Below are 27,411 nucleotides of genomic sequence, written 5' to 3' on the forward strand. Positions count from 1 at the left end.
TTGGGGTTCAAGTGGCTTTTGGTTATATGGATGAATTGTATAGTGGTGAAGTCTGAGATTTCAGTGCACCTGTAACCCAAGCAGTGCACATTGGACCCAATATTTAGTTTTTTATTCCTCACCGCATCCTCCCCACTTCTGAGTCTCCAAATTCCATTGTACCACCCTCTTTGTATACCTTTGTATACCCATAGCTTAGATCTCACTTATAAGTAAAACATTTTGGTATTTAGTTTTCCATTCCTGAGTTGCTTCACTTAAAATAATGGCCTGCAGCTCCATCCAAGTTGCTGCAAAATACATTATTTCATTCTTTTTTTATGCCTGAGTAATATTCCACATTTTCTTCTACCACATTATCCACTCATTGGTTGATGGGCACTTAGATTGGCTCTATATCTTTGCAGTTGTGAATTATGCTGTGAGAAACATACATGTGCAGGTGTCCTTTTAAGACAATGACTTCTTTTCCTTTTGGTAGATACTCAGTAGATCAGTAGTGGGATTGCTGGATAAAATAGTAGATCTACATGTAGTTCTTTAAGAAATCTCCATACTGTTTTCCATAGAGGTTGTACTAATTTGCATTCCCATATATAAGCATTCTTTTTTTCTTTTTTTAACCACATCCATGGCAACATCTATTGTTTTTTGACTTTCTATTAATGGCCATTCTGGCTGGGGTAAGGTGGTGTATCATCCTGATTTTAATTTGCATTTCTCCAGTGATTAATGATGTTGAGCATTTTTTCATATGTTTGTTGGCCATTTGTATATCTTCTTTTGGGAATGTCTATTCATGTCATTTGCCCATGAAATATTTTAATTTACCTTTTAATTTATTTATAGACCCATTGGTTATTCAGGTGCATGTTGTTTAATTTCAATGTATTCGTTAATTTTCCAAAGTTCCTCCTAGTGCTGATTTCCAGTTTTATACCATTGTGGTCTGAAAAGATACTTGATACGATTTCAGTCTTCTCAAATTTGGTAAGACTTGTTTTGTGACCTAACATATCAGCTATCCTAGATAATATTATGTGTGCAGTTGAGAAGAGTGTGTATTCTGCATCTGTTGGGTAGAATGTTCTGTGTATGTTTATTTGGTCTAGAGTTCAGTTTAAATCTAACATTTTCTGGTTGATTTTCTCTCTGGATGATCTGTCCATGTGAAAGGGCAATACTGAAGTCCTCTGCTATTATTGTACTATTATTGCATTTTAGTCTATCTCTTCCTTCAGATCTATTAATATTTTCTTAATTATTAATTAGATTGGATGCATATGTTTGAAATTTTTATACCCTCTTGATGAATTGACCCCTTTTTGATTATATAATAACCTTCTTTGTCTCTTTTTACAGTGTTTGACTTAAAATATATTTTATCTGACATAAACATAGCTACCCCTGTTCTCCTTTGGTTTCTATTTGTAAGGAATATCTGGTTCTATCCTGTCATTTTCAGTCTGTGTGTCCTTACAGGTGAAGTTAATCTCTTGTAGGCAGCATATAGGTGGATCTTGTTTTTTATACAGCCACTCTGTGTATTTTGATTGAAAATTTAGTCCTTGAACATAAGTTCAAGGTAATTATTGATAAGTAAGAACTTACTGCTGCCATTTTGTTAATTGTTTTCTAGTTGTTTAGTGGATCCTTTTTTTGTTTCTTACTCTTTCTTTGTGATTAAGTGATTTTTCTCTAGTAGTATGTTTTAATTACTTGCTTTTTATTTTTAGTGTATCTATTATAGGTTTTTGCTTTGTGATTACCGCAAGGCTTACAAAAACCATCTTATAGTTATAAGAAGTTATTTTAAGCTGATAACAAGTTAATTTTGATCACAAAAACCTTCTAAACTTTAACTCTATCCCCCAATTTTGAATTTTTGATATGATTTATATCTTTTTCCATTGCACATCCCTTAGCAAATTATTCTAGTTATTATTATTAATAGTTTTGTCCTTTAACCTTTATACTAATGATATAAGTAATTTAAAAACCACCATTGCAGTATTAGAGTATTCTGAATTTGTGTACTTAGTGAGTTTTATACTTTTAGATGTTTTTGTGTTACTCATTAGTGTCCTTTTCTTTCAGCTTGAAGAATTCCCTTTAGCATTTCTTATAAGGCAGGTCTGGTAGTGATGAACTCCCTCGGCTTTTGTTTATCTGTGAAAGTCTTTATCTCTCCTTCATTTGGGAAGGACAGCTTTGGTGAGTACAGAATTCTTGATTGGCAGGGCTTTTTGTTTTCCTCCTTGAGCTCTTTGAATATATGATTCTATTCTCTTCTGTCCTGTGAAATTTCTGCTGAGAAGCTGGACATATTGGAACTTCCTTATATGTTACTAGCTTCTTTTCTCTTCCTGCTTTCAGTTTTCTCTCTTTGTCTTTGATATTTGACAGTTTGATTATAAAATCTTTTGGGGTAGTCTTATTTAGATTGGGTTGGAGGATTAGAGACTTTTGACCTTTCTGTAACCAGATACTTATATCTTTCTCCAGGTTTGGAAAGTTTCCTGCTATTATTTCTTTACTCTTTCTACCCCTTTATCATTCTCTACTCCCTTTTGAACATTTGCTCTTTTGATGCTTTCCCATAAGTCCCATAGCTTTCTTCATTCCCTTTTTCTTTTTTATTTTTTCTGCTCTGTATATTTTCAAAATAACTTCTCTTCAAATTCCAGATTCTTTCTTCTGCTTGTTCAATTCAGCTGTTGATACTCCCTATTGCATTTTTCTTTGTGTTCAGTTATTTTTCAGCTCCCTGGTTACTGTTTTGTTATTATCATGCCAATCTCTCTGACATTTTTTATTCTGGTAACTTATGGTTTTCCTTATTTTGTTGAATTGTTTCTCTGTATTTTCTTGAAGTTCACTGAGCTTCCTTAAAACAGCTACTTTGAAAATGTTGTCAGGCCGTTCATACATTTCCATATTTGTAGGGTCAGTCACTAGCACGTTACTATGTTCATTTGGTGATGTCATGTTTCCTGGATCGTTCTTGATCCTTGTGGTTGTACATCAATGTCTGCATTAAAGAAGCAGGTGCTTATTCCAGTCTTTGCCATCTGGCTTTGTCTGGGAATATCCTTCATTAGTAACCCTGTCCACAGATTCTGGGCAAGTCTTCTGGTGTGGTCCCTAAGCATGTGACCACTACAGACATTGCAGCACTAGGGGGTGTCCTAAGCCCAGGACCACCATGATGACTGGCACAGTGCTGGGTTAGAATCTTATGGCCACCAAGGCTGGCACAGCACTGGGCTGGATTCTTATGGCTGCTGTGGCTGATACAGTGTTGGGGCACACCCAAAGTCCATGGCCACTGAGGCTAGTGCCACACAGAGGCACAACTAAAGCCCATGGCGGCTGAGGCCTGCCTGTCACTGTGGGTTATTTTTAGCCCATGGTCACTGTAGTCAGCCAGTGGTGATAAGGGCTAGAGCTTGCATTCATCTCACAGCAGCTATGGGTTCCTGTTTGGCACCAGGATAGATCTAGAAGCTTAGTCCACGAGTACCGGCCTGCAGTCAAGGGCCATGTGGATCTGCCTGCTGCTGGATTTTCCTGTGTCAGGCCCTGTATTAGGGTCCAAGGTAAAGTCCTATTCTTTCTTCCCTGTCTTTTGCCCAGATAGTGGTATTTTTCTGCATTGTGCTGCCTGGGGTTCAGGGAGGGGTGATGCAGGTAAGGTAAAACTATCCTTTATACCCTCATATTATGCTGTAACCAGGTACCGTGATCTGTCACCTGGTTTTCTTAGCTCTTGTGAAGGTATTTTTGTGTGTAGACAGTTGTTCAAATTGATGTTTCTGTAGGGGACAATCACTGGAAAGTCCTGTTTTGCCATCTTGCTCTGCCTTCATCTCTGTTCTTTCTTTTTTAAAAGACAAAATAAAAAATAAATAGAAGTTATTTGTATTTACTGATAGCCCAGCCAATGTCTTGTTCATCTCCTGGGATGTGCAAGTCCTTTTTGGAGGCCACTGATTAAAACAATAGCTGTGTGAAGTTTCAGGGAAAATGTACTGTTTTCCTACTGCGGCCTGCTTTGTGTTATGGTCTGCTTTTTCCTAAATGCATTGGCCAGAATGTTGGTTCTTAACTCCCAGTAGTGCTGCCCACCACAGAAAGCATGAAAATGTGTGAGGGTATATACAACGTATATATACTTTTGCATGATGTATTGTTGGGATGCCATTGAAATATAAGGCCTGGGAATCCAGAGTACTGAGTGTCTTACAATGTATGAGACAGCCCATTCAGCAGGAACTGCCCTGTCCAACATGTTAGTAACATTGCCCCTGAGGAGTACTCCTTCAATCAGGGAAATTTCCACTACTAGGACTTTACTCAGTAATTCTGAATTAGTCAATTAATTAATTAAACAAATATTTATTGAGCAACCATTAATACCATTTTTTAACCAGATTATTTACCAATTCCTTGCCAGCTTTGTTCTATTCTGGTACTAAGGAAGATCTAGGGGATGTGGTTGTTGTAGATTGATTTGGAGGCCCATTCAAATGGCAAGGCCTTGTTCTTCAGGGCTCAGCCTGTGCTTTTTACATATACATCCTTTCACATGGACTACAGCCCTGTGCCATCTAAATATCTTTTGAGTAGGGTCTCCCAGAGTCAGGGCCTGTGGAATTCCCATATAAGGAAAAATACTAGAAGCAGTTTTATCCCATCTTTCTTTTTTTTTTTTGCATGTTTATATTTTTTTATTTTTTATTTTTTTATTTTTTATTTTTTGTATTTATTGATCATTCTTGGGTGTTTCTCAGAGAGGGGGATGTGGCAGGGTCATAGGATGATAGTGGAGAGAAGGTCAGCAGATAAACACGTGAACAAAGGTCTCTGGTTTTCCTAGGCAGAGGTCCCTGCGGCCTTCCGCAGTGTTTGTGTCCCTTGGTACTTAAGATTATGGAGTGGTGATCACTCTTAATGAGCATGCTGCCTTCAAGCATCTGTTTAACAAAGCACATCTTGCACTGCCCTTAATCCATTTAACCCTGAGTTGACACAGCACATGTTTCAGAGAGCACGGGGTTGGGGGTAAGGTTATAGATTAACAGCATCCCAAGGCAGAAGAATTTTTCTTAATACAGAACAAAATGGAGTCTCTTATGTCTACTTCTTTCTACACAGACACAGTAACAATCTGATCTCTCTTTCTTTTCCCCACATTTCCCCCTTTTCTTTTCGACAAAACCGCCATCGTCATCATGGCCTGTTCTCAATGGTCGCTGTCTTTTCGGAGCTGTTGGGTACACCTGCAGAAAGGCTGTCACTTCACACTTGGAAGATTGCACAGTGGCCAGGCAGAGGTGCTTCTTACTTCCCAGACCAGGCGGCCGGGCAGAGACGCTACTCACTTCCCAGACGGGGTGGCGGCCAGGCAGAGGCGCTCCTCACTTCCCAGATGGGGCGGCCGGCCCTTATTTCAAATAAACCTAATTCAGTCAAGGAAGTTAGCGAAAATACCAATTTCTTACATTTTGTTAAGAATTTTTTCATCTAAGTTCGTAAGAGATATTGCTCCGTAACTTTCTTTTCTTGTAACGTCATTGTCAGGTTTCAGCATCAAGATTATGCTGGACTCAAAATGATTTGGAAGTGTTCCTCCTCCTCTATGCTTTGATGGCATTTGTACACGATTGGTATTTCTTCTTTAAATGTTTGATACAACTGACAAGTGAAATTTATCTGGGCCTAGTTTTGTTTGTGGGAAAAGATTAATAAAAAATTCAATTTATTTAATAAACAGAGGGCTAATCAGATATTCTGTTTCATAATGCCAATTTGGAAAATTGTGTTTTTCAAGGAATTTCCTCAACATTCTCTAATATGCACACACCAACAGTATTTTCCTCAACAGTATTTTCTAATATGTTGGCAAAGCATTGATCATAATATGCCCTTAACAGCCTTTTAATGCATGTAGGATCTGTAGTGATGTCACCTCTTTCATTCTTTTTTAATGCCTGTAGGATCTGTAGTGATGTTACCTTTTTCATTCCTGATATTGATAATTTGTGTTTCCTCTGATTTTTTTCTTGCTAAGTCTTGTTAGCAGTATATAATAACTCTTTTCAAAGAAACACATTTTTAGTTTGCTGGTTTTTAAAATTCTTTGTCTTCTATTTCACTGGTATCTGACTTAATCATCATTATTTATTTCTTTCTGCTTACTTTGAGCTTGATTTGCATTCCTTTTTCCTGCTTTTAAAGATATAAATTTAAATAATTATTTTTAAACCTTTCTTCTTTTCTAATATAATCATTTAAAATTGTAAGTATTCCTCTAAGCATTGTTTTAGCTGAATGCCACAAATCTCAATCAGTAGTGTTTAATATTATTGCTTTAAAGTTTTTCCCTTGTGATTTTTTTTCTTGAATACACTTTAAAAAATGTGTTGTTTAATTTCCAGTTATTTTAGGACTTTTAAAAGTACTTGTTTTTGTTGGATTACTAATTTAATTACATTGAGGTCAGAGAATATAGTCTGTAAGATTTTGATCTTTTGAAATTTACTAAGATTTATTTATGGCCAGAGTCTATCTTGGCAAACATTGCATGCACACTTGAAAAGAGTGTGCATTCCACAGTTGTTAGGTAGTATTTATAAATGTTAATTAGATAAAGATGGTTGAAAGTCTTGGGAGAAAAATTATATATATTTAGTGCTTTTTTTGTCTACTGGATTTGTTCATTTCTCCCTTAGTTCTGTAAGTTTTGTTTATGTATTTTGAAGTTCCAAATGCATACACATTTAGGATTGTTATGTTTTTCTAAGGACTTGACAAATTTTAATAATTCTGATATGTCATATTTATTTCAGACATTAGTCATTGTTTTGATGTTTACTTTGATATTAATATAGCCACTGTAGCTTTCTTATTAAGTTTTACATGGTGTATGTGTTTATAATCTTTAATGATAAATATCTATAGTCTATATATTAAAGAGGGCTTCTCATGGACAGCATATAGTTGGAGTTGGTGTTTTTAATGCAGTTGCATATGTCTTAATTAATTAATTCAACCAATTAATTAAATCAGTTAGTGTCTTTATCCATTTGTGTTGCTGTAAAGGTATGACTGAGGCTGGGTAATTTATAAAGAAAAGATGTTTATTTGGCTGATGGTTCTTCAGGCTATACAAGAAGCATGGTACCAGCATCTGCATCTGGTGAGGGCCTCAGGAAGCTTCCACTCATGATAGAAGGCAAAGGAGAGTTGGTGTGTGCAGATCACATGTCAAGAGAGAAGGCAAAAGACAGAGCGGAAGAGGGACCAGGCTCTTTTCAACAACCAGTCCTCATGAGAACTAAGATTGAGAACTCCCTCATTCCCACGAGAATGTCACCAAGCCATTCATGAGGGATCTGTCGCCGTGATCCAAACACTTCCCATTAGGCTTCACCTCCAACATTGGGGATCAAATTTCAACACTAGGTTTAGAGGTCAAATATCCAAACTATAGCAACTAGTGTTTGATTCTATACATTTAATGTAATAATTGATATATTTAAATGTAGGTCTACCATGTTACTATTTGCTTTCTATTTGTCCAATCTTTTTCTTTCATCTGTGTTTCTCCTTTTGGCCTTCTTTTGTGCTAAATGAATATTTTTTAGTGTTTCATTTGATGAAATCTTTATTTTTCATTTAATTGGCTTTCCTTGTTACATCCTTAACTTGTTACAGTCCACTAAAAGTAGATTTCATATGACTTCATATAAAATGAAACAAGTTTTCAACACTCATACCTCCCCTTACTCCTCACTCCTGTCCTTGGTGTTACTGTTTTAATGTATTTTATTTTTACATACATTATAAATCTCACAATTCAGAGTCATAATTTTTGCTTTTAAAAGTCATCTGTTTTTTAAAGAAATGGAGAAGAAAACTATACACTGCTAAGATCCACATGTTTACCACTTAAAATATTCTTCCTTCTTGTAGGATTTGAGGTTTCAACTGATGTTATTTCCTGAATAATTTCTTTTAGGCATTTCTTACAGTGCAGGTCTGCTGGTGACAGCTTTTTTCAGTTTTCGTTTATCTGAAATTATCTTTATTTCACCTGCACATTTATTTATTTACTCATTCATTCATTCATTTATCCATTTGTACATCCATACTTATATATTCTGAGGTAATTGTAAAGTGTAAAGATCCCATGTACCTTTCACCCAGTTTTCCCAATGGTCATATCTTGTAAAATAATAGTATAATATCAAAATGAGGAATTTGACATGTATGCAATGTGTTTGCAAGTCTATATAATTTTATCACTTGTGTAGATTTCTGTAACCACCACTACAATCAAGAGAGAGAACTGTTTATCACCACAAAGATCTTCCTATGTTACCCCCTCCTATGTTTTTTTCTAAATGTTTCATAATTTTACATTTAGCCTGTGATCTATTTTGAATTAGTTTCTGTATAAGGTTCACGTTTTTTTGTAATCCCAGCACTTTGGGAGGCTGAGGTGGGAGGATTGCTTAAGCCCAGGGTATCAAGGTTGCAGTGAGCTATGATCACACTACTTCACTCCAGCCTAGGTGATAGAGTGAGACTCTATCTCTTAAAAAACACACACACACACAAAAGCAAATGGTTCATTTTTTTTTTACTATGGGTGTTCAGTTGCTCCAGTGCATTTTACTTAAGTGACTACCCTTCCTACTTTGAATTGCTTTTGGATTTTTGTTAAAAGTTGGTTGTGCCTATATTTCCAGGTTCTCTATTTTGTTTTTATTTATTTATTTATTTATTTGATTTATTTTTTTTGAGACAGAGTCTCGCTCTGTTGCCCAGGCTGGAGTGCAGTGGTGCAATTTCAGCTCACTGCAAGATCCGCCTCCCAGGTTCACGCCATTCTCCTGCCTCAGCCTCCCAAGTAGCTGGGAATACAGGCGACCACCACCATGCCCGGCTAATTTTTTGCATTTTTAGTAGAGACTGTGTTTCATCGTGTTAGCCAGTATGGTCTCGATCTCCTGACCTCATGATCCGCCCACCTCGGCCTCCCAAAGTGCTGGGATTACAGGTGTGAGCCACTGCGCCTGGCCCTAGGTTCTCTATTTGTTCTATTCATCTGTGTTTCTCTGTCAATATCACACAGTCTTGATTACTGTAACTATAGAATTTCTTGAAATTGGGCCGGGTGAGTCCTCCTACTTTATTTTTTTTTCAAAATTGTTTTAGCTACTCTAGTTCATTTGCCTTTCCAAATAAATTTTAGAATAACTGTGTTCATGTCTACAAAAATATTGCTATAATATTGATAGGAGTTGCATTAAACCTGTATATTAATTAAAGGAGAATTGACATCTTTACTATGCTGACGAAAATGCTGAGTGTTTCAGTTCACGAATATGAAATATCTTTCCATTTATTTACATATTATTTGATTTCTTTCATCAGCTGTCTTAAAATTTTCAGTATACGAAGCCTGCACATGTTTTGTTAGATTTATACCTAAGTATTTTATTTTTTTTAGCAGTTGTAGATGGAATTGTATTTTAAATTTTGGTTTTCACATGTTCATTCCTAGTATATAGAAATATGACTGACTTTTGCATGTTAACCTTCTATCTTGTGATCTTGCCAAACTCACTTATTCTGGAAGATTTCTAGGTAGACTATCATGCCATCTGCAAAGAGGAAAAGTCTTATTTCTTTCTTTCTCATCTATGTGTCTTGTCTTTCCTTTTCTTGCTCTGTTACGCTGGCTAGAACTTCCAGCACTATGTTGAATAGCAACGGTAAGAGTGGATGTCCTTGCACTGAAAGCTTTCAGTCATTCACCACTAAGTATGATGTTAACTGTAGGTTTGCAATAGATTTTTAAAAATTATATTGTGGAAGGTCCCTGATATTCCTAGTAATCTGAGAATTTTTATTATTAATGGGTGCTGAATTTTGTCAATTTTTTTCTCCATCAATTGATAGCATCCTGTGATATTTCTTTGTTAGCCTGTTACTTTAATGGATTATATTATTTTTTTTAATCCAGCCTTGCATCCCTGGAGTAAACTAGAGCATGTTTTAGAAGTCTTTTTATATTATACATTGCAGAATTCAATTTGCTAATGTTGTGTTACGGATTTTTGCATCTGTATTCTTGAAGAATATTGGTCTGCAGTTTTCTCTTTTTTAAATAATGGTTTTGTCTGGTTTTGGTATGACAAGGCTAGCTTCATAAAATGAGTTGGGACGTATTCCTTCCTCTTCCATTCTCTAGAAGATGTTTTGTAGAATTATTATTTTTTGTTTCTTGTTGAGATAACAAGAAACAATGTAGAATTAATATTAATTATTCTTTAAACATTTGGTAAAATTCTCCAGTGAACTCATCCAGGCCTGGAGATTCCTTTTTGAAGAAGTTTTAAGTCAAGAATTTAACTTTCTTAAACAGATATAGGACTAGTCAAATTATTTTATATTGTGTGAGTTGTGGTAGTTTGTTTTCTGAGGATTTAATTCATTTCATCCAAGTTGTCTAATTTGTGAGGAGTTTGTAGTATTCTATTATTCTTTTGATGTCTGCCGCATCTTTTGTGGTATTTCCCATTTTATTCTTGATATCTGTAATTTATACCTTCTCTCTTTTTATCTTTGTCAGTCTTACTAGTGGTTTGTCAGTTTATTGATCTTTAAAAAATACCAGCTTTTTTGTTTGGTTTTCTCTATTGTTTTTCTGTTTTCAATTTCATTGATTTCTACTTTGATCTTTATTATTTATTTCCTTCTGCTTGTTTGGGTTTATTTTGCTTTTCTTTTTTCTAATTTCTTCAGTTGAAAGCTTTGATTATTGATTTGAGATTTTATGTTTTCTTATGTAAGCATTTAGTGCTACAAATTTCCCTCCAGTCAGTGCTTTAGCAATGTCTCACAAATTTTTATATGTTGTATTATTATTTCCACTTAATTAAAAGTCTTTTATTTTCATCAAGACTTCCTCTTTGACTTATGGACTTTTAGATGCGTATTGTTTAGTTTCTAAATATTTGTAGATTTTCCTGTTATCTTTTTATTTATTTTTGATTTCTAGTTTGTTCCCATCTTGGACAGAGCACGTACTTGTTTGGTTTCAGTTCTTGTAAAATGTTTAGGATGTTTTATAACCAAATATGTGCTTTGTTTTGTACATGTTCCATGAATACTTGAAAAGAGTGTGTATTCTGCTGTTGTTTTATAGAGCTTTCTATAAATGTCAGTTAGATCCTGTTCATTGATGGTGTTGAGTATCCTTCCTGATTTTCTTGTTCTTGTTCTATCAGTTATTGAGAAAGCAGTATTGAAGTTTCCAAGTATAATTGTGGATTTGTCTATTTCTTCTTTCAGTTATTCTGTTTTTTGTTGCAAATATTTTGCAGTTCTATTGGGTGATACATACACATTTAGGATTGCTATGTCTTTCTGGTGGATTGACACCTTTGTCATTATATAATGTCCTGCTCTGTCCCCAGTAATATTCTTTGCTATGAAGTTTATTTTTCTAATATAGCCAATCCTATTTCCTTTTTTTAAATATTTGCATGGCCTATCTTTTTCCATCCTTTTACTTTTAACTTATATATATAATTATATTTGAAGCAAATTTCCTGTAGACAGTATATTGTTGAGTCTTTTTAAAAAAATCCTCTTTGCCAATCTCTATCTTTTACTTGGTATATTAGACCATTTACAATTAACTTGATTATTGATATGTTAGAGCTTGTTGACCATTTTATTTTTCGTTTTCTTTTTCTCTGTTTTTGGCTTGTCTGTTTTTTTCCTACCTGCTTTTGGGTTACCTAAACACTTTTTAGAATTCTTATTTATCTATAATGTTTCTTTTCTTTTCTTTTTTTTTTTTTTTGAGACAGAGTTTTGCTCTTGTTGCCTAGGCTGTAATGCAATGGCACAATCTTGGCTCACCACAACCTCTGCCTCCCGGGTTCAAGCAATTCTCCTGCCTCAGCCTTCCGAGTAGCTGGGATTATAGGCATACACCACCATGCCCAGCTAATTTTGTATTTTTAGTAAAGACAGGGTTTCTCCATGTTGGTCAGGCTGGTCTTGAACTCCTGACCTCGGGTGATCTGACAACCTTGGCCTCCCAAAGTGCTGGGATTACAGGCGTGAGCCACCGCGCCTGGCTATAATGTTTTCTATTGTATATCTTCATATGGCTTTTTTAGTGATTGTGCTAGGTGTTACATTATGAATACATACATTATCAAAATCTACTGATGTCAACATTTTACCAGTTTGAGTGATGAGCAGAAACCTTCTTTTCCCTTTATAGCCCTTTGCCCTTCCCATTTATAATAAAATGTATTATTTTATCTTCTTACATTGAGAATTACATTAGACTATGCTAGAATTTTGGTTCAACCATCAAACATTATTTGTAATACTCAAAAGGAGAAGGACTGTCTATTTTATTTGCCTATAGTTTTGCTTACTGTGTTCGTCTTTCCTGATGGTCCAAGGTTCCTTCTTTTGTTATTTTCTTTCTGCTTAGAGAAGTTCTTTTATTCTTTAAGAGTAGCTCTGCTAGCCACAAATTCCTTTAGTTTCTTTGTCTGAGAATGTCTTTATTTCTACTTTATTCCTGAAGAAGAATTTCACCAGATGTAAGATTTAGGGTTGATAGTTCTTTTTTTTTTTTTTTAGCACTTAAAAAATATTGTGCCCATTCTTTCTGGCCTCCATGGTTTCTGATGAGAAAACCACTATCATTAGAATTTATTTTTCCCTATTGATATATGCTTTAAAGATTTTTTTATTTGTCTTTTGTTTTCAGATGTTTGAGTATGATGTGCCTTGGTGTGAATTTATTTGCATTTATTATCTTCGAATTTCACTCAGATTCTTGAATCTGTTGCTTTATGTTTTTTGTTTTTGCCAAATTTGGAGAATTTTCAACCCTTATGTCTTTGAATTCTTTTTTTTTTTCTTCTTTTTCTTCCCCCTACCCTCTTTCTCTTCTCCTTCTGGCACTCCAATAATATGAACATTGGATCTTTAAAAAAAATAATCCTACATATCTGTAAGGCTCTGTTCAGCTTTCTCAGGCTATTTTTTCCCTCTTGTCTAGATTGGGTAATTTTTATTGTTCTCCAAGCTTACTCATTCTTCTTTTTTCATTTTGCTATTGAGTTCATCCATTGAGTTTTTAATTTTGATTATTCTATTTTTTGCTCTAATATTTCCATTTTATTCTTCTTTATATCTTCTATTTCTTTACTGAGACTTCCTATGTTTTTATTCATTTTGAGAATGTTTGTAATTGCCATTAAGTATGTTTATGGTTGTTGCTTTAAAATCCTTGTTAGGTCATTCTATGACATCTCTCATCTTGGTGTTGATATTGTCAGTTGTCTTTTTTTATAATCTTCCTGGTTTTTTGAATGATGAATGATTTTTTATTGAAACTGGGACATTTCCCAAATTTTGTTTATATTTTTGGATTTAGGTGTACAAGTGCAGTTGTGTTACATAGATATATTGTGCAGTGGTGAAGTATGGGCTTTTAGTGTATCCATCATCTGAAGAGTGCACATTGTACCCAATAAGCAATATTTCATCCTTCACCCTTGATACAGTCTGGCTGTGTCTCTACCCAAATCTCATCTTGAATTGTAACTCCAACAATTCCCACGTTTGTGGGAGGGACCCAGTGGGAGGTAACTGAATCATGAAGGCAGGTCTTTCTCTTGCTGTTTTCACAATAGTGAATAAGTCTCACAAGATCTGATGGTTTTAAGAAGAGGAGTTCCTTTGCACAAACTCTCTCTTTGCCTGCTGCTGTCCATGTAAGATGTGACTTGCTCCTCCTTGCCTTCCACCATGATTGTGAGGGCTCCCCAGCCACATGGGACTGTAAGTCCATTAAACCTCTTTCCTTTGTAAATTTCCCGGTTTCAGGTATGTCTTTATCAGCAGTGTGAAAATGGGCTAATACAACCCCTGCTCCCCCCACCTTTTGGATTCTCCAGTGTCTATTTTTCTCTGCATGTCTGTGTGTTCACATGCCACTTAAAAGTGAGAAGATGTAGTTTTTCACTTTGTTTCTGAGTTATTTCATTAAGAATAATGGCCTCCAGTTCCATATATGTTGCTGTAAAAGACATGATTTCATCTTTTGAAATGGATGAGTAGTATTCCATAGTCTATACACACCATGTGGTCTATATATATAAACCACATTTTAAAAATACTACAGCAAACATATAAGGGCAGGTGTCTTTTTGATAAAATGATTTCTTTTCCATTGGGTAGATTACCAATAGTGGGATCAAAGGGTAGTCCTATTTTAATTCTTAAAGAAATCTCCATCCTGTTTTCCATAGAGGTTGTACTAATTTACATTCCCAGCAACAGTGTATAAGCATTCCCTTTTCTCCACAATCTCACCAAAATCTGTAAATTTTTGACTTTTTAATAGTACCCATTGTGACTGGTGTGAAATGGTATCTCATTGTAGTTTTGATTTGCATTTCTCTGATGATTAGTGATGTTGAGCATTTTCTCTTGTTTCTTATCCACTTATGTGTCTTCTTTTGAGAAGTGTCTATTCATGTCTTTTGCCCATTTTTAAATGGGGTTATTTTTTGCTTGCTGAATAGTTTAACTTCCTTATAGATTCTGGATATTCAATCTTTATTGGATGCACAGTTTGCAAATATTTTCAATAAATATTTGCAAATATTTTCTTTTACTTTATAAGTTGTCTGCTTACTCTGTTGATAGTTTCTTTTGCTGAGCAGAAGCTCTTTAATTTAATTAGGTTCTACTTATCAATTTTTGTTTTTGTTGCAATTGCTGTTGAGGACTTAGTTATAAATTATTTGCCAAGGCCTGTGCCCAGAATAATATTTCTTAGGTTTTCTTCTAGGATTCCCTAGGATCTTATGTTTAAATTTTTAATCCATCTTCAATTAATTTTTTTATATAGTGAAAGGTAGGGGTCCAGTTTCATTCTTCTGCATGTAGCTAGCCAGCTATTTCAGAGTCATTTATTGAATAGGGAGTCCTTTCCTCATTGCTTATTTTTGTCAACTTTTTGAAGATCATATGACTGTAGTTGTGTGGCTTTATTTTTGGTTCTGTATTCTGTTCCATTGTTCTATATGTCTGTTTGGGGTGTGTGTGTGTGTGTGTGTGGGTGTGTGTGTGTGTGTGTGTGTTTTACCAGTACCATGCTGTGTTGGTTACTGTATCCTTGTAGAATAGTTTGAAGTCATTACCTTCATTCTTGAAGAACACTTTTGCTGGTTTTAGAATTACTGGTTGAAGTTTTTTTTTTCTGACCTTTAAATATGTCAAGCCATTGTTTTCTGATTTCCACCTTTTCATCAGAGAAATCAGACATAATCCGTAACATTTTCCTTCCATATGATGTATATAATGTATCTTTTTTTCTATAACTGCTTTTAAGATTTTTCCTCTTTATTCTTGTTTTCAGCTATTGATATGCCTTCTTTTGGTTTTCTTTGTACATACATTGCACTGGATTTATCGAGCTTCTTGGATCTGTAGGGTTTTTTTTAATCAAATCTTGGAAATTTTCAACTATTATTTCTTCTAATCTATTTTTACGCCCTATCTGTTCTCTCTTTTTCTTCTGAGACTCAAATCATAGTTTGCTAAGCATCTTGATATTGTCCCACAGGTCACTGAAACTCTGTTCATTTTGTCAATATTTTTTTTCTCTTTGTTTATCAGATTGAGTAATTTCTCTTGACAGATTTTCTAGGTTACTAACACTTTATTCTGGTACCTCCAATCTGCTGTGAAGCCCATACAGATATTGTACTTTTTGTTCTAAAATTTCCTTTCTTTTCAATTTCTCTGCTAAGTTCCCCATTTGTTCACTTATTATGATCACAGTTTTCTTTCCCTCCAACATTATATATATATATAATGTTTATGGTATTTATAGTATACTTATAATATATTGAGGCCTTTTTCTTCTAATTTCAACATCTGGTCCATTTCAGGGTAGGTTTTATTGATTGCATTTTCTTTTGACTATTGGTCACATTTTTCTCTTTGTTTATGTATCTGATAATTTTTTGTTCTATGCTGGACAATGTGAATGGTTGTAGAGACTTTGGGTTGTATAGTTTTCCTTTGGTATATGCAAACGATTGTTTCCAGGACCCCCTGTGTATACCAAATCCATGCATACTCAGTTCCTGCAGTTGTCTCTTCAGAACCCACATATATGAAAAGTTGGCCCTCTGTATGAGTGGGTTTCACATTCCACTGATACTGTATTTTTATCCACATTTGGTTGAAAAAAATCTGCATATAAGTAGACCCATGCAGTTCGAAATCATGTTATTCAAGGTTCAACTGTATAATCCTTCTTCTAGGAGAAGTGATTTTTATTCTTATAAAAATTGATACTATATATTATTTATAACAGCTTTATTGAGCTATAATGTACCTACCTACAATTCAATGGTTTTACTATATTCACAGATATGTGCAACTATTTAGAATGTTTTTATCACCTCAAAAAGAAACTCTGTACTTCTTAGCTCTACACTTTCCTACCCCTAAACTTTCTCTATAGATTTGCTTGTTTTGAGCATTTCATTGAAATAGAATTTATAATATGGGGTCTTTTGTGACTGGCCTCTTTTACTTAGCTTAATGTTTTTAAGGTTCATCCATGTTGTAACCAGCACCAATACTTTATTCCTTTTTGCGACCATATGTATTCCATTGTATGGCTGTACTACGATTTTCTTATCCATTTACCAGTTGATAGATGGAGAGCTGATTTTCATTCTAGTAGGCAGTTAAGTTGGCTGGACTCAAACTCCAAACTCTCTCTTTCCTGCTAAATACATACAAATAACAAATGCCCTCCTTTTTAGGATGGATGCCATTCCAGTTTCTGCATGTTCTAGATTGCTGTCTAATGCCTACAAATAGCTCTTTTTATATTTCGTCCAGAATTTATCATATTTTTTCTGTGTGAAGGTTAGCTACTACAATCTACTCCACTGTTACTGGATGCAGAACTCACAATGCCTTACATTTCAATTCCCAATACAGCTTATGAAGCCTTCCATAGTCTTATTTCCTTCAAGCCTCAAAAAACAGCTTCCTCTCCCAACTCCAGATAAATGTCTTAGGTAAACAGAGAATGCTGCTAGTGATATTTAGTCACTTCATCAATGTCAGCTAAGAAGGTGAAATATTGGAAACACAAATTTTAGAGCTGGAGTGGTCTATTGAGTGAGATTATTGCTGATGGAATTCAAGTATCCATTCTTTACTCTTTACTATTGTGAAAGTTGCACTTCAAGACTTGAAATCACCCCTTGTGATTGGGGAGCAAGCCTGGCCAGGGTGTCTATAAAATTCAGCCTTGCTCTTTTTAGCTCTCCAGAGGAGGCTGTTATCCTGCCTTCCTAGTAAGGCAGAGGGAAGGAAGTACCAGCACCACAAGTACCACCATTCTGTCTCCCACCTTTGGGACTTAAAAATAATAATTAAAATTACAATAAAATAATCATCCGATAAAAAACATCTCTGTGAAGCCTTACCTCATCTTCTGTCCTGCCAAATCCTAGCTAGTCTTTGAATCCTCTCCATAGGCTTCTGAGAGTTCCATGAAGGAGCAGGACTATGTTGTAGGCAACAAGAAGGAGTAGGACTATGTTGTAGGTAACAATTGTATTCCTATCCTGTAAGCATGCCTAGTACATAGTAGGCACCCAATAAGGGTTTATGCAACAGATATTTGAATAGCTGAGCATATAATCTGATAAGGAGAAAATCTTGTAGTTCTGACATTCTGTATGGCAATTCTGAATCTGTGACCGGCTGGCTTTATTTCAGTGATTTAATTATGACCCTTCAGTTGAGAGTACAGTTGAAATATCTAAGTGAAATTTTAAAAACCCTGAAAACCAAGTCCAAGTCACGAATAACTTCCTATGTTGCTTTTTTTTTTTTTTTTTAACCTCTGTTGTAATTACTCTGGACCAAAGTACAAGGAAACTAGGACACAAATTCTATTCTTCCTGTTTATTCATGCATTAAAAGATTACAATGCCGTTCTCACTCATAGGTGGGAATTGAACAATGAGAACACTTGGACACAGGATGGGGAACATCACACACCAGGGCCTGTCGTGGGGTGGGGGAAGGCGGGAGGGATAGCATTAGGAGAAATACCTAATGTAAATGATGAGTTGATGGTTGCAGCAAACCAACATGTCACATGTATACATATGTAACAAACCTGCACATTGTGCACATGTACCTGAGAACTTAAAGTATAATAAAGAAAAATATTACAATGCCATAGACAGTTACATTTATCACAGCACCTAGAAATACTTCATGATTTAGAACAGAATAGAAAGCATCACAAATTATTGATGGCACAAGATATAATTTGAATGGTGTCAGAGAAAAACATTTCAAAATAAAAATAGGAAGGTTCACTCATGTACTACTGTTTTGATTGTTTTTCTTTATAAAAATGCAGATTATGTGGCGTCTCTGGGGAGACCTGTGGCTTCTCGGTATGCTGATGGTCTGTTTCCACAGCTCTACAGAGCAGAAGATGGCAGAGTATACAATGTAAGTCAGAGTTCCCTCAATGCGCAGTCCTGTGACATGGTGCTGACATCACATCGGAGAGTGCAGTGTGGGGAGAGACTTGTGCTGCTTGGCAGGGATGCAGCTGAGCCAAGCCCTTATTAGGCTGGGGGTTTTCTTTTGGCATTGATAGGGTGATGAAAATCATGGCCAAGGAAGGAAGTTTTTGATCCATTAGAAATTAGTGCAGAAAACTCTTGATGAGAGATGAAAACCTTTGCACATTACCACTTCGTTTTGCTTTGAAAATAAAGGAAAAAAAAATATGACAGAGATGATCTGAAAGCCAAGAGCAAACTGCCATTATCTGAGAGAAGCATTAGGAATAGGGGCAGCATTTGCAGATAGGAGAATGAGCACCACCTCTGACCAGAGGCCTTTACTCCCAGCAATTCAGCACCTGAGTCTCACGTCTCCTACATGCCAGGCCCTGTGCAGACCCAGGCCAACCACATGGAGCTCAAAGTCTGTTGGAGACACATGTCCCATCACGTCCATTTATGGATATTTGTTCATGTCTATGTACATCCATGTACCACCTGGACTACTGTTTCCTAATATTTAGAAAATTTAAGTTACTTTTATTGGTAAATTTTTTTTTTTTGAGAAAATTTTTGTAGACCCTATCCTCGAATATGTCTTCCAGTTGTTTACTCTCCTTCTCTTTCAAGAATGCCAATGAGTCATGGGTTTGGTCTCTTTACGTAATCCTATGTGTCTCAGAGGTTTTGTTCATTTTTTTAAATTCTCTTTTTCTTTTGAGACACTTTCTTGTTCTATCACCCAGTCTGGAGTGCAGTGGTGTGTTCATGGCTCACTGCAGCCTTGACCTCCCGGGTCCGAGCGATCCTCCCACCTCAGCCCTCCAAGTAGCTGGGACCACAGGCGTGTGCCATCACACCCAGCTAATTTTTGTATTTTTTTGCAGACGGGGTCTCGCCATGTTGCCCAGGTTGGTCTTGAACTCCTAAGCTCAAGCAATCCGCCTGCCTGGGCCTCCCATCTGCCTTGGCCTCAACCTCATGCCTCAGATTACATGTGTAAGGCATCATGCCTGCCCCTTTTTCTTTATTTTTGTCTGCCTACATTGATTCAAAGGAGTGATTCTTCAACTTTGAAGTTCTTTCCTCAGCTTGGTCTAGTTTGTTGTTAATGATTCTGATGGTATTATGATATTTCTGTAGTGAATTGTTCAATTCCAAAAGTTCAGTTTGGTTCTTTCTTAATATGGCTATATCATCCAATTCTTGGATTATTTTACCATTTTCCTTGGATTGGGTTTCCACCTTCTCCTGTATCTTTATGAGCTTTCTTGACATCCAGATCCTCAATTCAATGTCATTTCAGCCATTTCAGTCTGGTTAAGAACCACTGCTGAGGAGCTAGTGTGATTGCTTGGAGGTAAGAGGACACTCTGGACTGAAGAGTTTACGGAATTCTTGCACTGGTTCTTTCTCACCTGTGAAGGCTGATGTTTCTTCATCCTTTTAAGTTGCCATCCTTTGGATGGGCCTTTTTGTTTTTATGTTCTTTATTTCCCTTGAGGGTTTGACTGTGGTGTGAGTTGGGTATAGCTGATTGGCTTAGTTTCCGGATGCTTTCAGAGGGCCAACGCTCAGCTCAGCATTCCTGGGCTGCATGCTGTAACCCTGGGGCCTAGAACTGGGCTGTGGCTTTGTCCTCTGGCCCCTTGAGGTCGAACACTGGCTGCGCTGGGGCAGCCAATGTGCTACCAGGCTGCTGGCAAAAGCCTTCCATTAGGGGCTGCTGGCAATGCTCTGGTGGGGCAGCAGGGGGGCCATGGGTGAAAATACCCTGGTGGGGTGTTGGGGCTGCCCAGGAAACAGCAGAGAGCCTGGAGGGATACTGTAAGAGGGACAGCCAGGCCATTCAGCCCTTGGAGAAACCTCCATGATGGGGGTGGTAGGTTGCCTTCAGCTTGAAGATGCACCCACTACTTACTTTTTCCAAAGCTTAAATTACCTTTTTTTTTTTTTTTTTTTTTGATGGAGTTTCACTCTGTCACCCAGGCTGGAGTGCAGTGGTGCCATCTCAGCTCACTCCGCCTCCTGCGTTCAAGCGATTCTCCAGCCTCGGCCTCCCAAGTAGCTACAGGTGTGCGCCACCGTATCCAGCTACTTTTTGTATTTTTAGTAGAGATGGGGTTTCACCATGTTGGCCAGGCTGGTCTCGAACTCCTGACCTCGGGTGATTCACTCACCTTGGCCTCTCAGAGTCCTGGGATTACAGGCATGAGCCATCATGCCAGGTCCAGCTTAAATTCCTTTTTAAACTAAGCCTGGTCCTAAGCAATACTATCTGTGGAATCTTCAGTTTGATGTGCTAAGTATATTTTTTATCTGAACCACATTAAAATCAATGCAAAACTTTTAAAAACACCTGTCCCTTTACCTTTAAAATCCACCTCCACATTCCCTGTGATGTGCCCACCCTGGCTTCTGTGTTGTAGCAGTAGCTGTGGATGCTGGTGAAGGAGCTGGTAATTCTGTCTTAAGGGGCCATGAGAAGCCTCCAAGAAGTGATGCTGGAGCTTGAGGAATGAGGTTGACAGACACATGGGACAGGGAAGGAAGGAGCCTGAGCCAAGCCACAAAAATGTGGAATGAGGTGATGTGGTCTGAAAGCACATTTTCCAAGATAAAGTACCGTATCTTCTTTTAAAATGTGCTCTAAGAATCCCTAAGCCTAGCTGGGAAGGTGACCGCATCCACCTTCAAACACGGGGCTTGCAACTTAGCTCACACCGGGCCAATCAGATAGTAAAGAGAGCTCACTAAAAAGCTAATTAGGCAAAAACAGGAGGTAAAGAAATAGCCAATCATCTATTGCCTGAGAACACAGCGGGAGGGACAGTGATCGGGATATAAACCCAGGCATTTGAGCCAGCAACGGCTACCCTCTTTGGGTCCCCTCCCTTTGTATGGGAGCTCTGTTTTCACTCTATTAAATCTTGCAACTGCTAAAATAAAATAAAATAAAATAAAATAAAATGTGCTTTGTCACAGAATAGGGCACAATTTTTTCTTGTTCCTTGTCTATGTCTTCTATTGCCTCTCTACCTCTTGAAAGGCCTTGCACAGTGTGTCTGATCTATGTGAAGGATGGTTTATTTGTACATACAAGAAACTTCCTGCAAGTCTCTGTCACCATTTGGGGGCAGCTCAAGGGCTGCTGGTAGCAGCAGTGAGTGATCAGGTGGTCCAGGTGCAGGAGAGCTTCACCCGAGAGAGGAGGGCATGAGGACAAAAGTCATGAGCAGAAGGATGTGTAGCTGGGATGGCATCCTTTAGAGGAAGCCAGGAAGGTGTGCTGGCATGTTCAGTAGCATTTTCAGAAATATTTTTGGAATGTTATGTTTAGGAAAACGTTTTAGTGAGACATTATTTTCCATCTGCCTTTGTTGGTCTTTTCTCCTACCTAATTTCTTAAGAGTACCCTGGGCTTTTTCTGATAAAGATAATCTGTAACTATAAAGATAAAACATAATCTGGAAAGATATTTTTTAAGGACTGCTGTATTTTGAATAGATCATATTATCATCTTTTCTTCTGTGGAGAATCCAAGCGTTTTTCTGTTGAAAGACTGGAACCTTTTCTCCTGGATTCTGTAGTGTTTGGAGGGTCATTGACAACACTGTTATGAGTGCACAGTTCTCGGTGGCAGCACTGTGGTTCAAATGACTTATTTTGGTGTTGTTTTATTGTTTTTGTCTTTTATTTTCATTAAGCTGACAGCTAAATCAGAACTGATTTATCAGTTTGTGGAACATTTAACACAAGCTGTGGAGAGCTACAAGCAGCGAATGGACTGGCTCACCAGCAAGAGCCGGCAGATTTTTGGTGTCATCTTGGAACAGTGCGTCACCATAGTGCTGGATTTTGGCGGCATTCTGGAGGGGGAGCTTGATCTGTGCCGAGAGGCTCTAACAATGGTTCTCCAGGAGCAGGTGGCTCACATAACCGAGTTCAATATCATACGGTGAGTTCCCATAGGAAGGGAGTATTTTAGTGAAAGTTCATAGTAATTTGTACATATTTGGAATTAAGTAGCACAGCTGACACAGTTAGCTCTCTGGTGAGGGAAGAGGCATTATCTTATACTTTCCTAGAAGATGTAATTTCAGCAGCAATCCCACAGTGAATAAATCTTAGGAACTTTTATCTGCTTTGCACAGGGTGTCTTAGCTTTCACATTAAAAGAGATTTAGAAACATGCATTTCTTCAGTGCATGGGAAGGTTAAAATATAAGAATATGAGTTATGGCAAATATATATTTAAGGCCATAAATCTCTTCATTCATTTTAGCTTTTAACTTGGGTAATGAATTCAAATGTCACTAATTTCACTGATTTTCCAGACTGAAGTTGCAACTCAAGTTGACCTCCCCTATAAGTTGACCCCTTTCACCAGAACAACAGGTGGCTGGCTTTATAGAATTTCCCATATTTCAGAGTTTTCACAACCAATTATTTATGGATTCTTGGATTCAAGAGAATTTGGACCTTAGCATTAACTTCTCATCTGGAAAAGTTATTGCACCTCCCTGACAAAAAACATCTGGATAACGGTTGGGGAAGGATCTACCTCATTCAGTTTTTCTGTTTTTAATCAAATACTTTCAGCTAAATAGAGGACATCTTTGGGGACAATGCCTAATTATGTTCTATCTAGCTTCCTATTTCTGTCACAGGTGTATTACTGAAGGAATCAAGTGCTTAAGTCTGCAAAGCTTTTGCTTTCTTGGAAACCTCTGTACAACACAGATGCCACTCAGCCAGATTCTCTACCCAGGAAGCACACAGCAGACACGAGTGTGAGCCAGCCCTGCTTCTGGTGGCAGGCCATGGGGGCAATCGGGCCAGTTTATTTGCAATTATCAAGTGCAAATAAATTGAGATAATTCAAATGGCTCTTCTTTTTTTGGAATTGGGAGTTCTACCAGTCTTTTATAAGCCCAAACTAAATGGTTTAACCAAATTTTCTCAGGATTTAAAAACTAATACTCTGTTGAACTCAAAACAATACCAGTATTAATCCAAAAGAAGGCAACCTATGGGAATCTTTCAGGACAATGAAAACAATGTCATGAAAGAATTAGAAATAAAATTTTAGAGCAATAGAATTGCTGGTGATTTGCAAACCTTAATACTGTGAATTATTATAAATGTACTATTAAGTGAAGCCAGTTACATATAAACTTGCCTGTTTATAAAAAATAACTTCTCTTAATGTTTTAAAGGACTCATTATTAGTGTTTACCTTTCTGTTTCTCATGTAAACATTGTTTTTCCTAGTCAGCACAGCTTATAGAAGGTAGTGGTGCTTTGGGAACCTGTCTTAAACAGCTTGCTGGTTTTGTTGGTAACATCAGAGGGCTGGGAGCTATGATTTCTTTCTTTTTCAGCTCTAGAGATGGATGTTGGCAGCTTGCTGCTCATGGCTGTGAGACGGAGGTTTGGCATCCCAGTAGCACTGATCACTGCCCAGTGACCACTCCATGTGATCCTTTTCAGGGTTTCTCAAGAGCCTGTGAAGTGGCAGGAAAATGCTACTCCTGTGACCGAACAGTCCATAGCTACTGCCATCAGTTGGGTTGAGAAACTGACGGTTGAGCTGACTGTGAGCGAGGCTGGCCGCCTGGATGCTCTGCTGGAAGCCGGGAGAGACAAGACTGTAAGTGCGTGTTCATGGCTGGCCCCAGGCCATGGAGGTGGCTTCCAGCTTAACTCTTCACACTCAGTGACTTTACACGGCCCTTCAACTGATCTTGGGCCCCTCCCAGCAGGATCCGACAGAGATCCCATTGGGCACTGATGGTGATGGCATAGCTGGAACAACCCAAATGAGGCCCCTGAATACCCGTCTCCTGAACCTGGCTAGGCTCCCTCTGTGGGGTGACTGGGGATGCAGGGTAGACCCTTGTTTAGCCAGTGTCGGGAGAGCCGAGTGCGACTCACACCCACCGAGCACCGAGAAGGGACAGGAGTGAGGCCATAGTTGTGCATCTTTGCCATATTAACTTCACTCTTGCTCTCCTACCAATTAGATCAGTCAGTCTATCTCTTATGAGGAGGAGAGAGAGATTGGAAGACTCCTCATAGAACCCTGAGGATGAGGAAATAAGGTTTTCCCAGCATCCATATTCTGAATCTTTCCTAGTTACTCTTCTTCACAGATGGATCTGTCATCTGTCACACACTTTCCAAGGTGAAGTACGCGCAAGCTGATGACTCCATCCATTTTTGGATGTCAATGTATTGACATGAATTTTGATAGGGACATTTTTGGAAATAAAGCTTTACCTGGAAGAAGTGATTAGATGGTGGTGTGTTATGTCTCTTTGAGCCACAGGGTCTGTGTTTCTGGGAGTGACTCTAGTGATGGGAGTGTTGGGGCAGTGGCAAGCCAGTGGAGACACACTCTGGGCAGGCGGGGTCCTTTGGCCAGCCTGGACTCCCTGTGGGAAGGTCTGCTTGCCTTTGGATACAGTTACTTAACAATTATGTGCTTCCTCCACTCTGGAAGTCTGGGGTTTCTGTAGGTTTCAGACTTTACCCAGCTGCATCAAGAAGTCCATTGTTGGAGAAAGAAGCCACGTGTTGGCATCTTGAAAGATAGCCCCCAGTGGTCACCGGCCTGTGTTTATCAATACTGAGGGCAATGGTTTGTAATTGGAAACACATTGCTTTTCCTTCCAAGGCCAAAAGAACAAATGTTTTCCATTAAAGAAGAACCAGATACAAGCTAGTTTGTTCCTTGGTCCTTTGAGTTTGTTTTAACATCTGTAAAATTTCAAGTGTCTGGACACCTTAATAAGCATTCAAAAAAATGGAACATTCCCAGGCTCAGGGTGTGTGTGCATGAGCCTGGGCACACAGCTGTTCTCTTTGTCTATGAACCTGGCTATTGTGGTCACAGCTGCCTGTGGCCCCCTGACCTGACTGCAGGATCCGCCAGTGACCCTGTCTTTCTGTTTCACTCCTTCTGGTTCGTGCCTCTCCTTTCTCCGGGGTTCATTCCTATTCCAGGAAGTAAGGAACAATTCAGTGAGTTCCAGGGAAGTCCTATGGAAGAAAAGGAATCAAGAAAGAAGCTTCCAGGCACTGATCATCAAATGCAGCCTGAAAGCTTTTGAGAAGAGACCGTGGAGCAGCACATGCAAGCCCTGCACAGACCGCTGTGCCCCTCTGCCCACAGCCTTGATCTGGGGGTGGTCTCAAGGAAAATTCTAGCAAATGCAACTGCCTTGCATATAAAAATGCCGTGTCCTATGTTTTATGAGGAGTTAAAAAACACATGTGTGTGTGGCAGGGGGGAGTGGGTTCCCATAAGTCCTGCTTCTCTGCTCCACACCTGTCATGCCCATCCCAGCGAGTTCTGAATTCATCCAGATGGCTGCAGTTTGCTCTGAATAGAAAAGATGGAAGGCTTAAAGAATTTTTTGAGCAGCTAATATAAACACCTAGACTGTTCCTACTGATGACAGCCTGCTGCAAGTTAGCATCTCCCTCCATGAGCGGGTGCTGAGAGGAGCCAGGAAAGTGGGCATTGTCTTGTGCCCACAAATTAACATGCAAGTCCCGTTTCTATACCAAGCCCACATGAGGAGTAGGGCTGAACCACGTGCTTGGTCATGGAGAAGGAAGATGCCCAGAGAGGCTCCTGGCCCCCTCCAGGCACAGGCTTTGTAACCACCGCGGGCCAGGAAGACTGAAACAGGAAGCAACGAGAGAGAGCCTTGAGGTCTAAGAAGAGCACATGCAGAGTGGGAGGTCTGTTGAAATGCTGGCTCGACACATAGCACTGAAAGAGCATGATTGATAGATGAATTACTGTTGTGTCTCATGAAAAGGAACCTGGCTCACTGGGAGGGCAGCACGTGGGGTCCTGGGGACATGTTTGGTGGTTGAGGGGGTTGACATCCTCAGAGACCAGGTGTGTGGACCGGCACAGAGTTTCTGCTCTTCAGTAGCCCTGGTCCAGGACATGCATCTTTGGAAGTTAGTAGCTTCCCAGGCCTCACGAGGAAGGGTGGTGTACAGGATGAAAGGGAAGGCTGTTTACCCAGAGCCCTGGTTCTAAGCTGCCTAAGAAGACCAAGGGGTTTTGCTTCTCTGCCAGGACAAGGCCACCTACCCAGAAGATACCTGCATTTCTGATTCTGTTCTTAGCCTCTCTTCTATCCACCTGCTGGCACACATCTGTTTAGTTTTTGGTTTCTTTTAATCATATTTCCTGGGAGACCAAGTGAGTGGATTAAAGACAGACCCACATGATTTCATAAAGAACCTTCACTGCTGGACTGAAAGCCGAAGTCCTGGCCACATTAATCCATGACCCTGGCAGTTCATTTATTTCCTTTTAGTGGTTCAGGCAGGCATCAGATCTTTTCTTTTTTGTGTCTCTGATGCCTAACAAGGGCTCTATAAATGCTTGTTGAACAGTGAAAGGTTGGAAAGGAAATAATTTTCATATTCTTGTGTTTGAGGGGAAGATGTGGGTCCCATTTCCAAGCTATGGCATAGATTTGGGTTTTGTGACTTGAAGTGAGATGGTCTGTGTGGGATTGAACAGGTGAATTTGCTGAGTCTTGTAGGACCCTGGTGGGGATGGCAGGTGGGGACAGAGACCCTGAAACCTGGGAGGCCAGAAAGTCGGTGGTGGTCAAGGATCCTAGGAGGGATCTGAGAGGTGAACTAGATCAATACCATGGGGACAGTCACTACCATGGAGGGAATCAGATGAAATGGG

At 38.3% G+C, this 27,411-nt stretch overlaps 1 protein-coding gene across 15 annotated transcripts in view, besides 3 other annotated features; it reads left to right on the top strand.

Annotated features, from left to right (window-relative positions):
- The window catches only part of VWA3B (von Willebrand factor A domain containing 3B), a 243,450-nt gene that overhangs the window by 9,959 nt on the left and 206,080 nt on the right, over positions 1-27,411 (top strand). For 13 of the 15 annotated variants that reach the window (XR_922885.4, XR_922884.2, NR_144297.2 and 10 more), the window contains exons 3-5: positions 18,527-18,621; positions 22,388-22,638; positions 24,174-24,333. Coding sequence is in view for 10 of the 15 variants with exons in the window: in NM_144992.5 (NP_659429.4) it covers positions 18,527-18,621; positions 22,388-22,638; positions 24,174-24,333 (506 nt within the window). In the remaining 5 variants the exon portion in view is untranslated. The remainder of the gene's footprint in view (positions 1-18,526; positions 18,622-22,387; positions 22,639-24,173; positions 24,334-27,411) is intronic. The other 2 variants (NR_144296.2, XM_047443640.1) reach the window with 2 other exon arrangements.
- Positions 19,875-20,376: an enhancer, noted in NCBI's record as "H3K4me1 hESC enhancer chr2:98733463-98733964 (GRCh37/hg19 assembly coordinates)". NCBI's record gives its function as "activates a minimal SCP1, AML or CMV promoter by ChIP-STARR-seq in primed H9 embryonic stem cells {active_cell/tissue: H9 hESC(primed)}" and the evidence as "EXISTENCE:reporter gene assay evidence [ECO:0000049][PMID:30033119]".
- Positions 20,377-20,876: an enhancer, noted in NCBI's record as "H3K4me1 hESC enhancer chr2:98733965-98734464 (GRCh37/hg19 assembly coordinates)". NCBI's record gives its function as "activates a minimal SCP1, AML or CMV promoter by ChIP-STARR-seq in primed H9 embryonic stem cells {active_cell/tissue: H9 hESC(primed)}" and the evidence as "EXISTENCE:reporter gene assay evidence [ECO:0000049][PMID:30033119]".
- Positions 26,497-26,606: a silencer, noted in NCBI's record as "silent region_11799". NCBI's record gives its function as "represses an Ori minimal core promoter by ATAC-STARR-seq in GM12878 lymphoblastoid cells {active_cell/tissue: GM12878}" and the evidence as "EXISTENCE:reporter gene assay evidence [ECO:0000049][PMID:35858748]".

Source organism: Homo sapiens, chromosome 2, assembly GCF_000001405.40.
Source record: "Homo sapiens chromosome 2, GRCh38.p14 Primary Assembly".
Taxonomy (NCBI): Eukaryota; Metazoa; Chordata; class Mammalia; order Primates; family Hominidae; genus Homo; species Homo sapiens.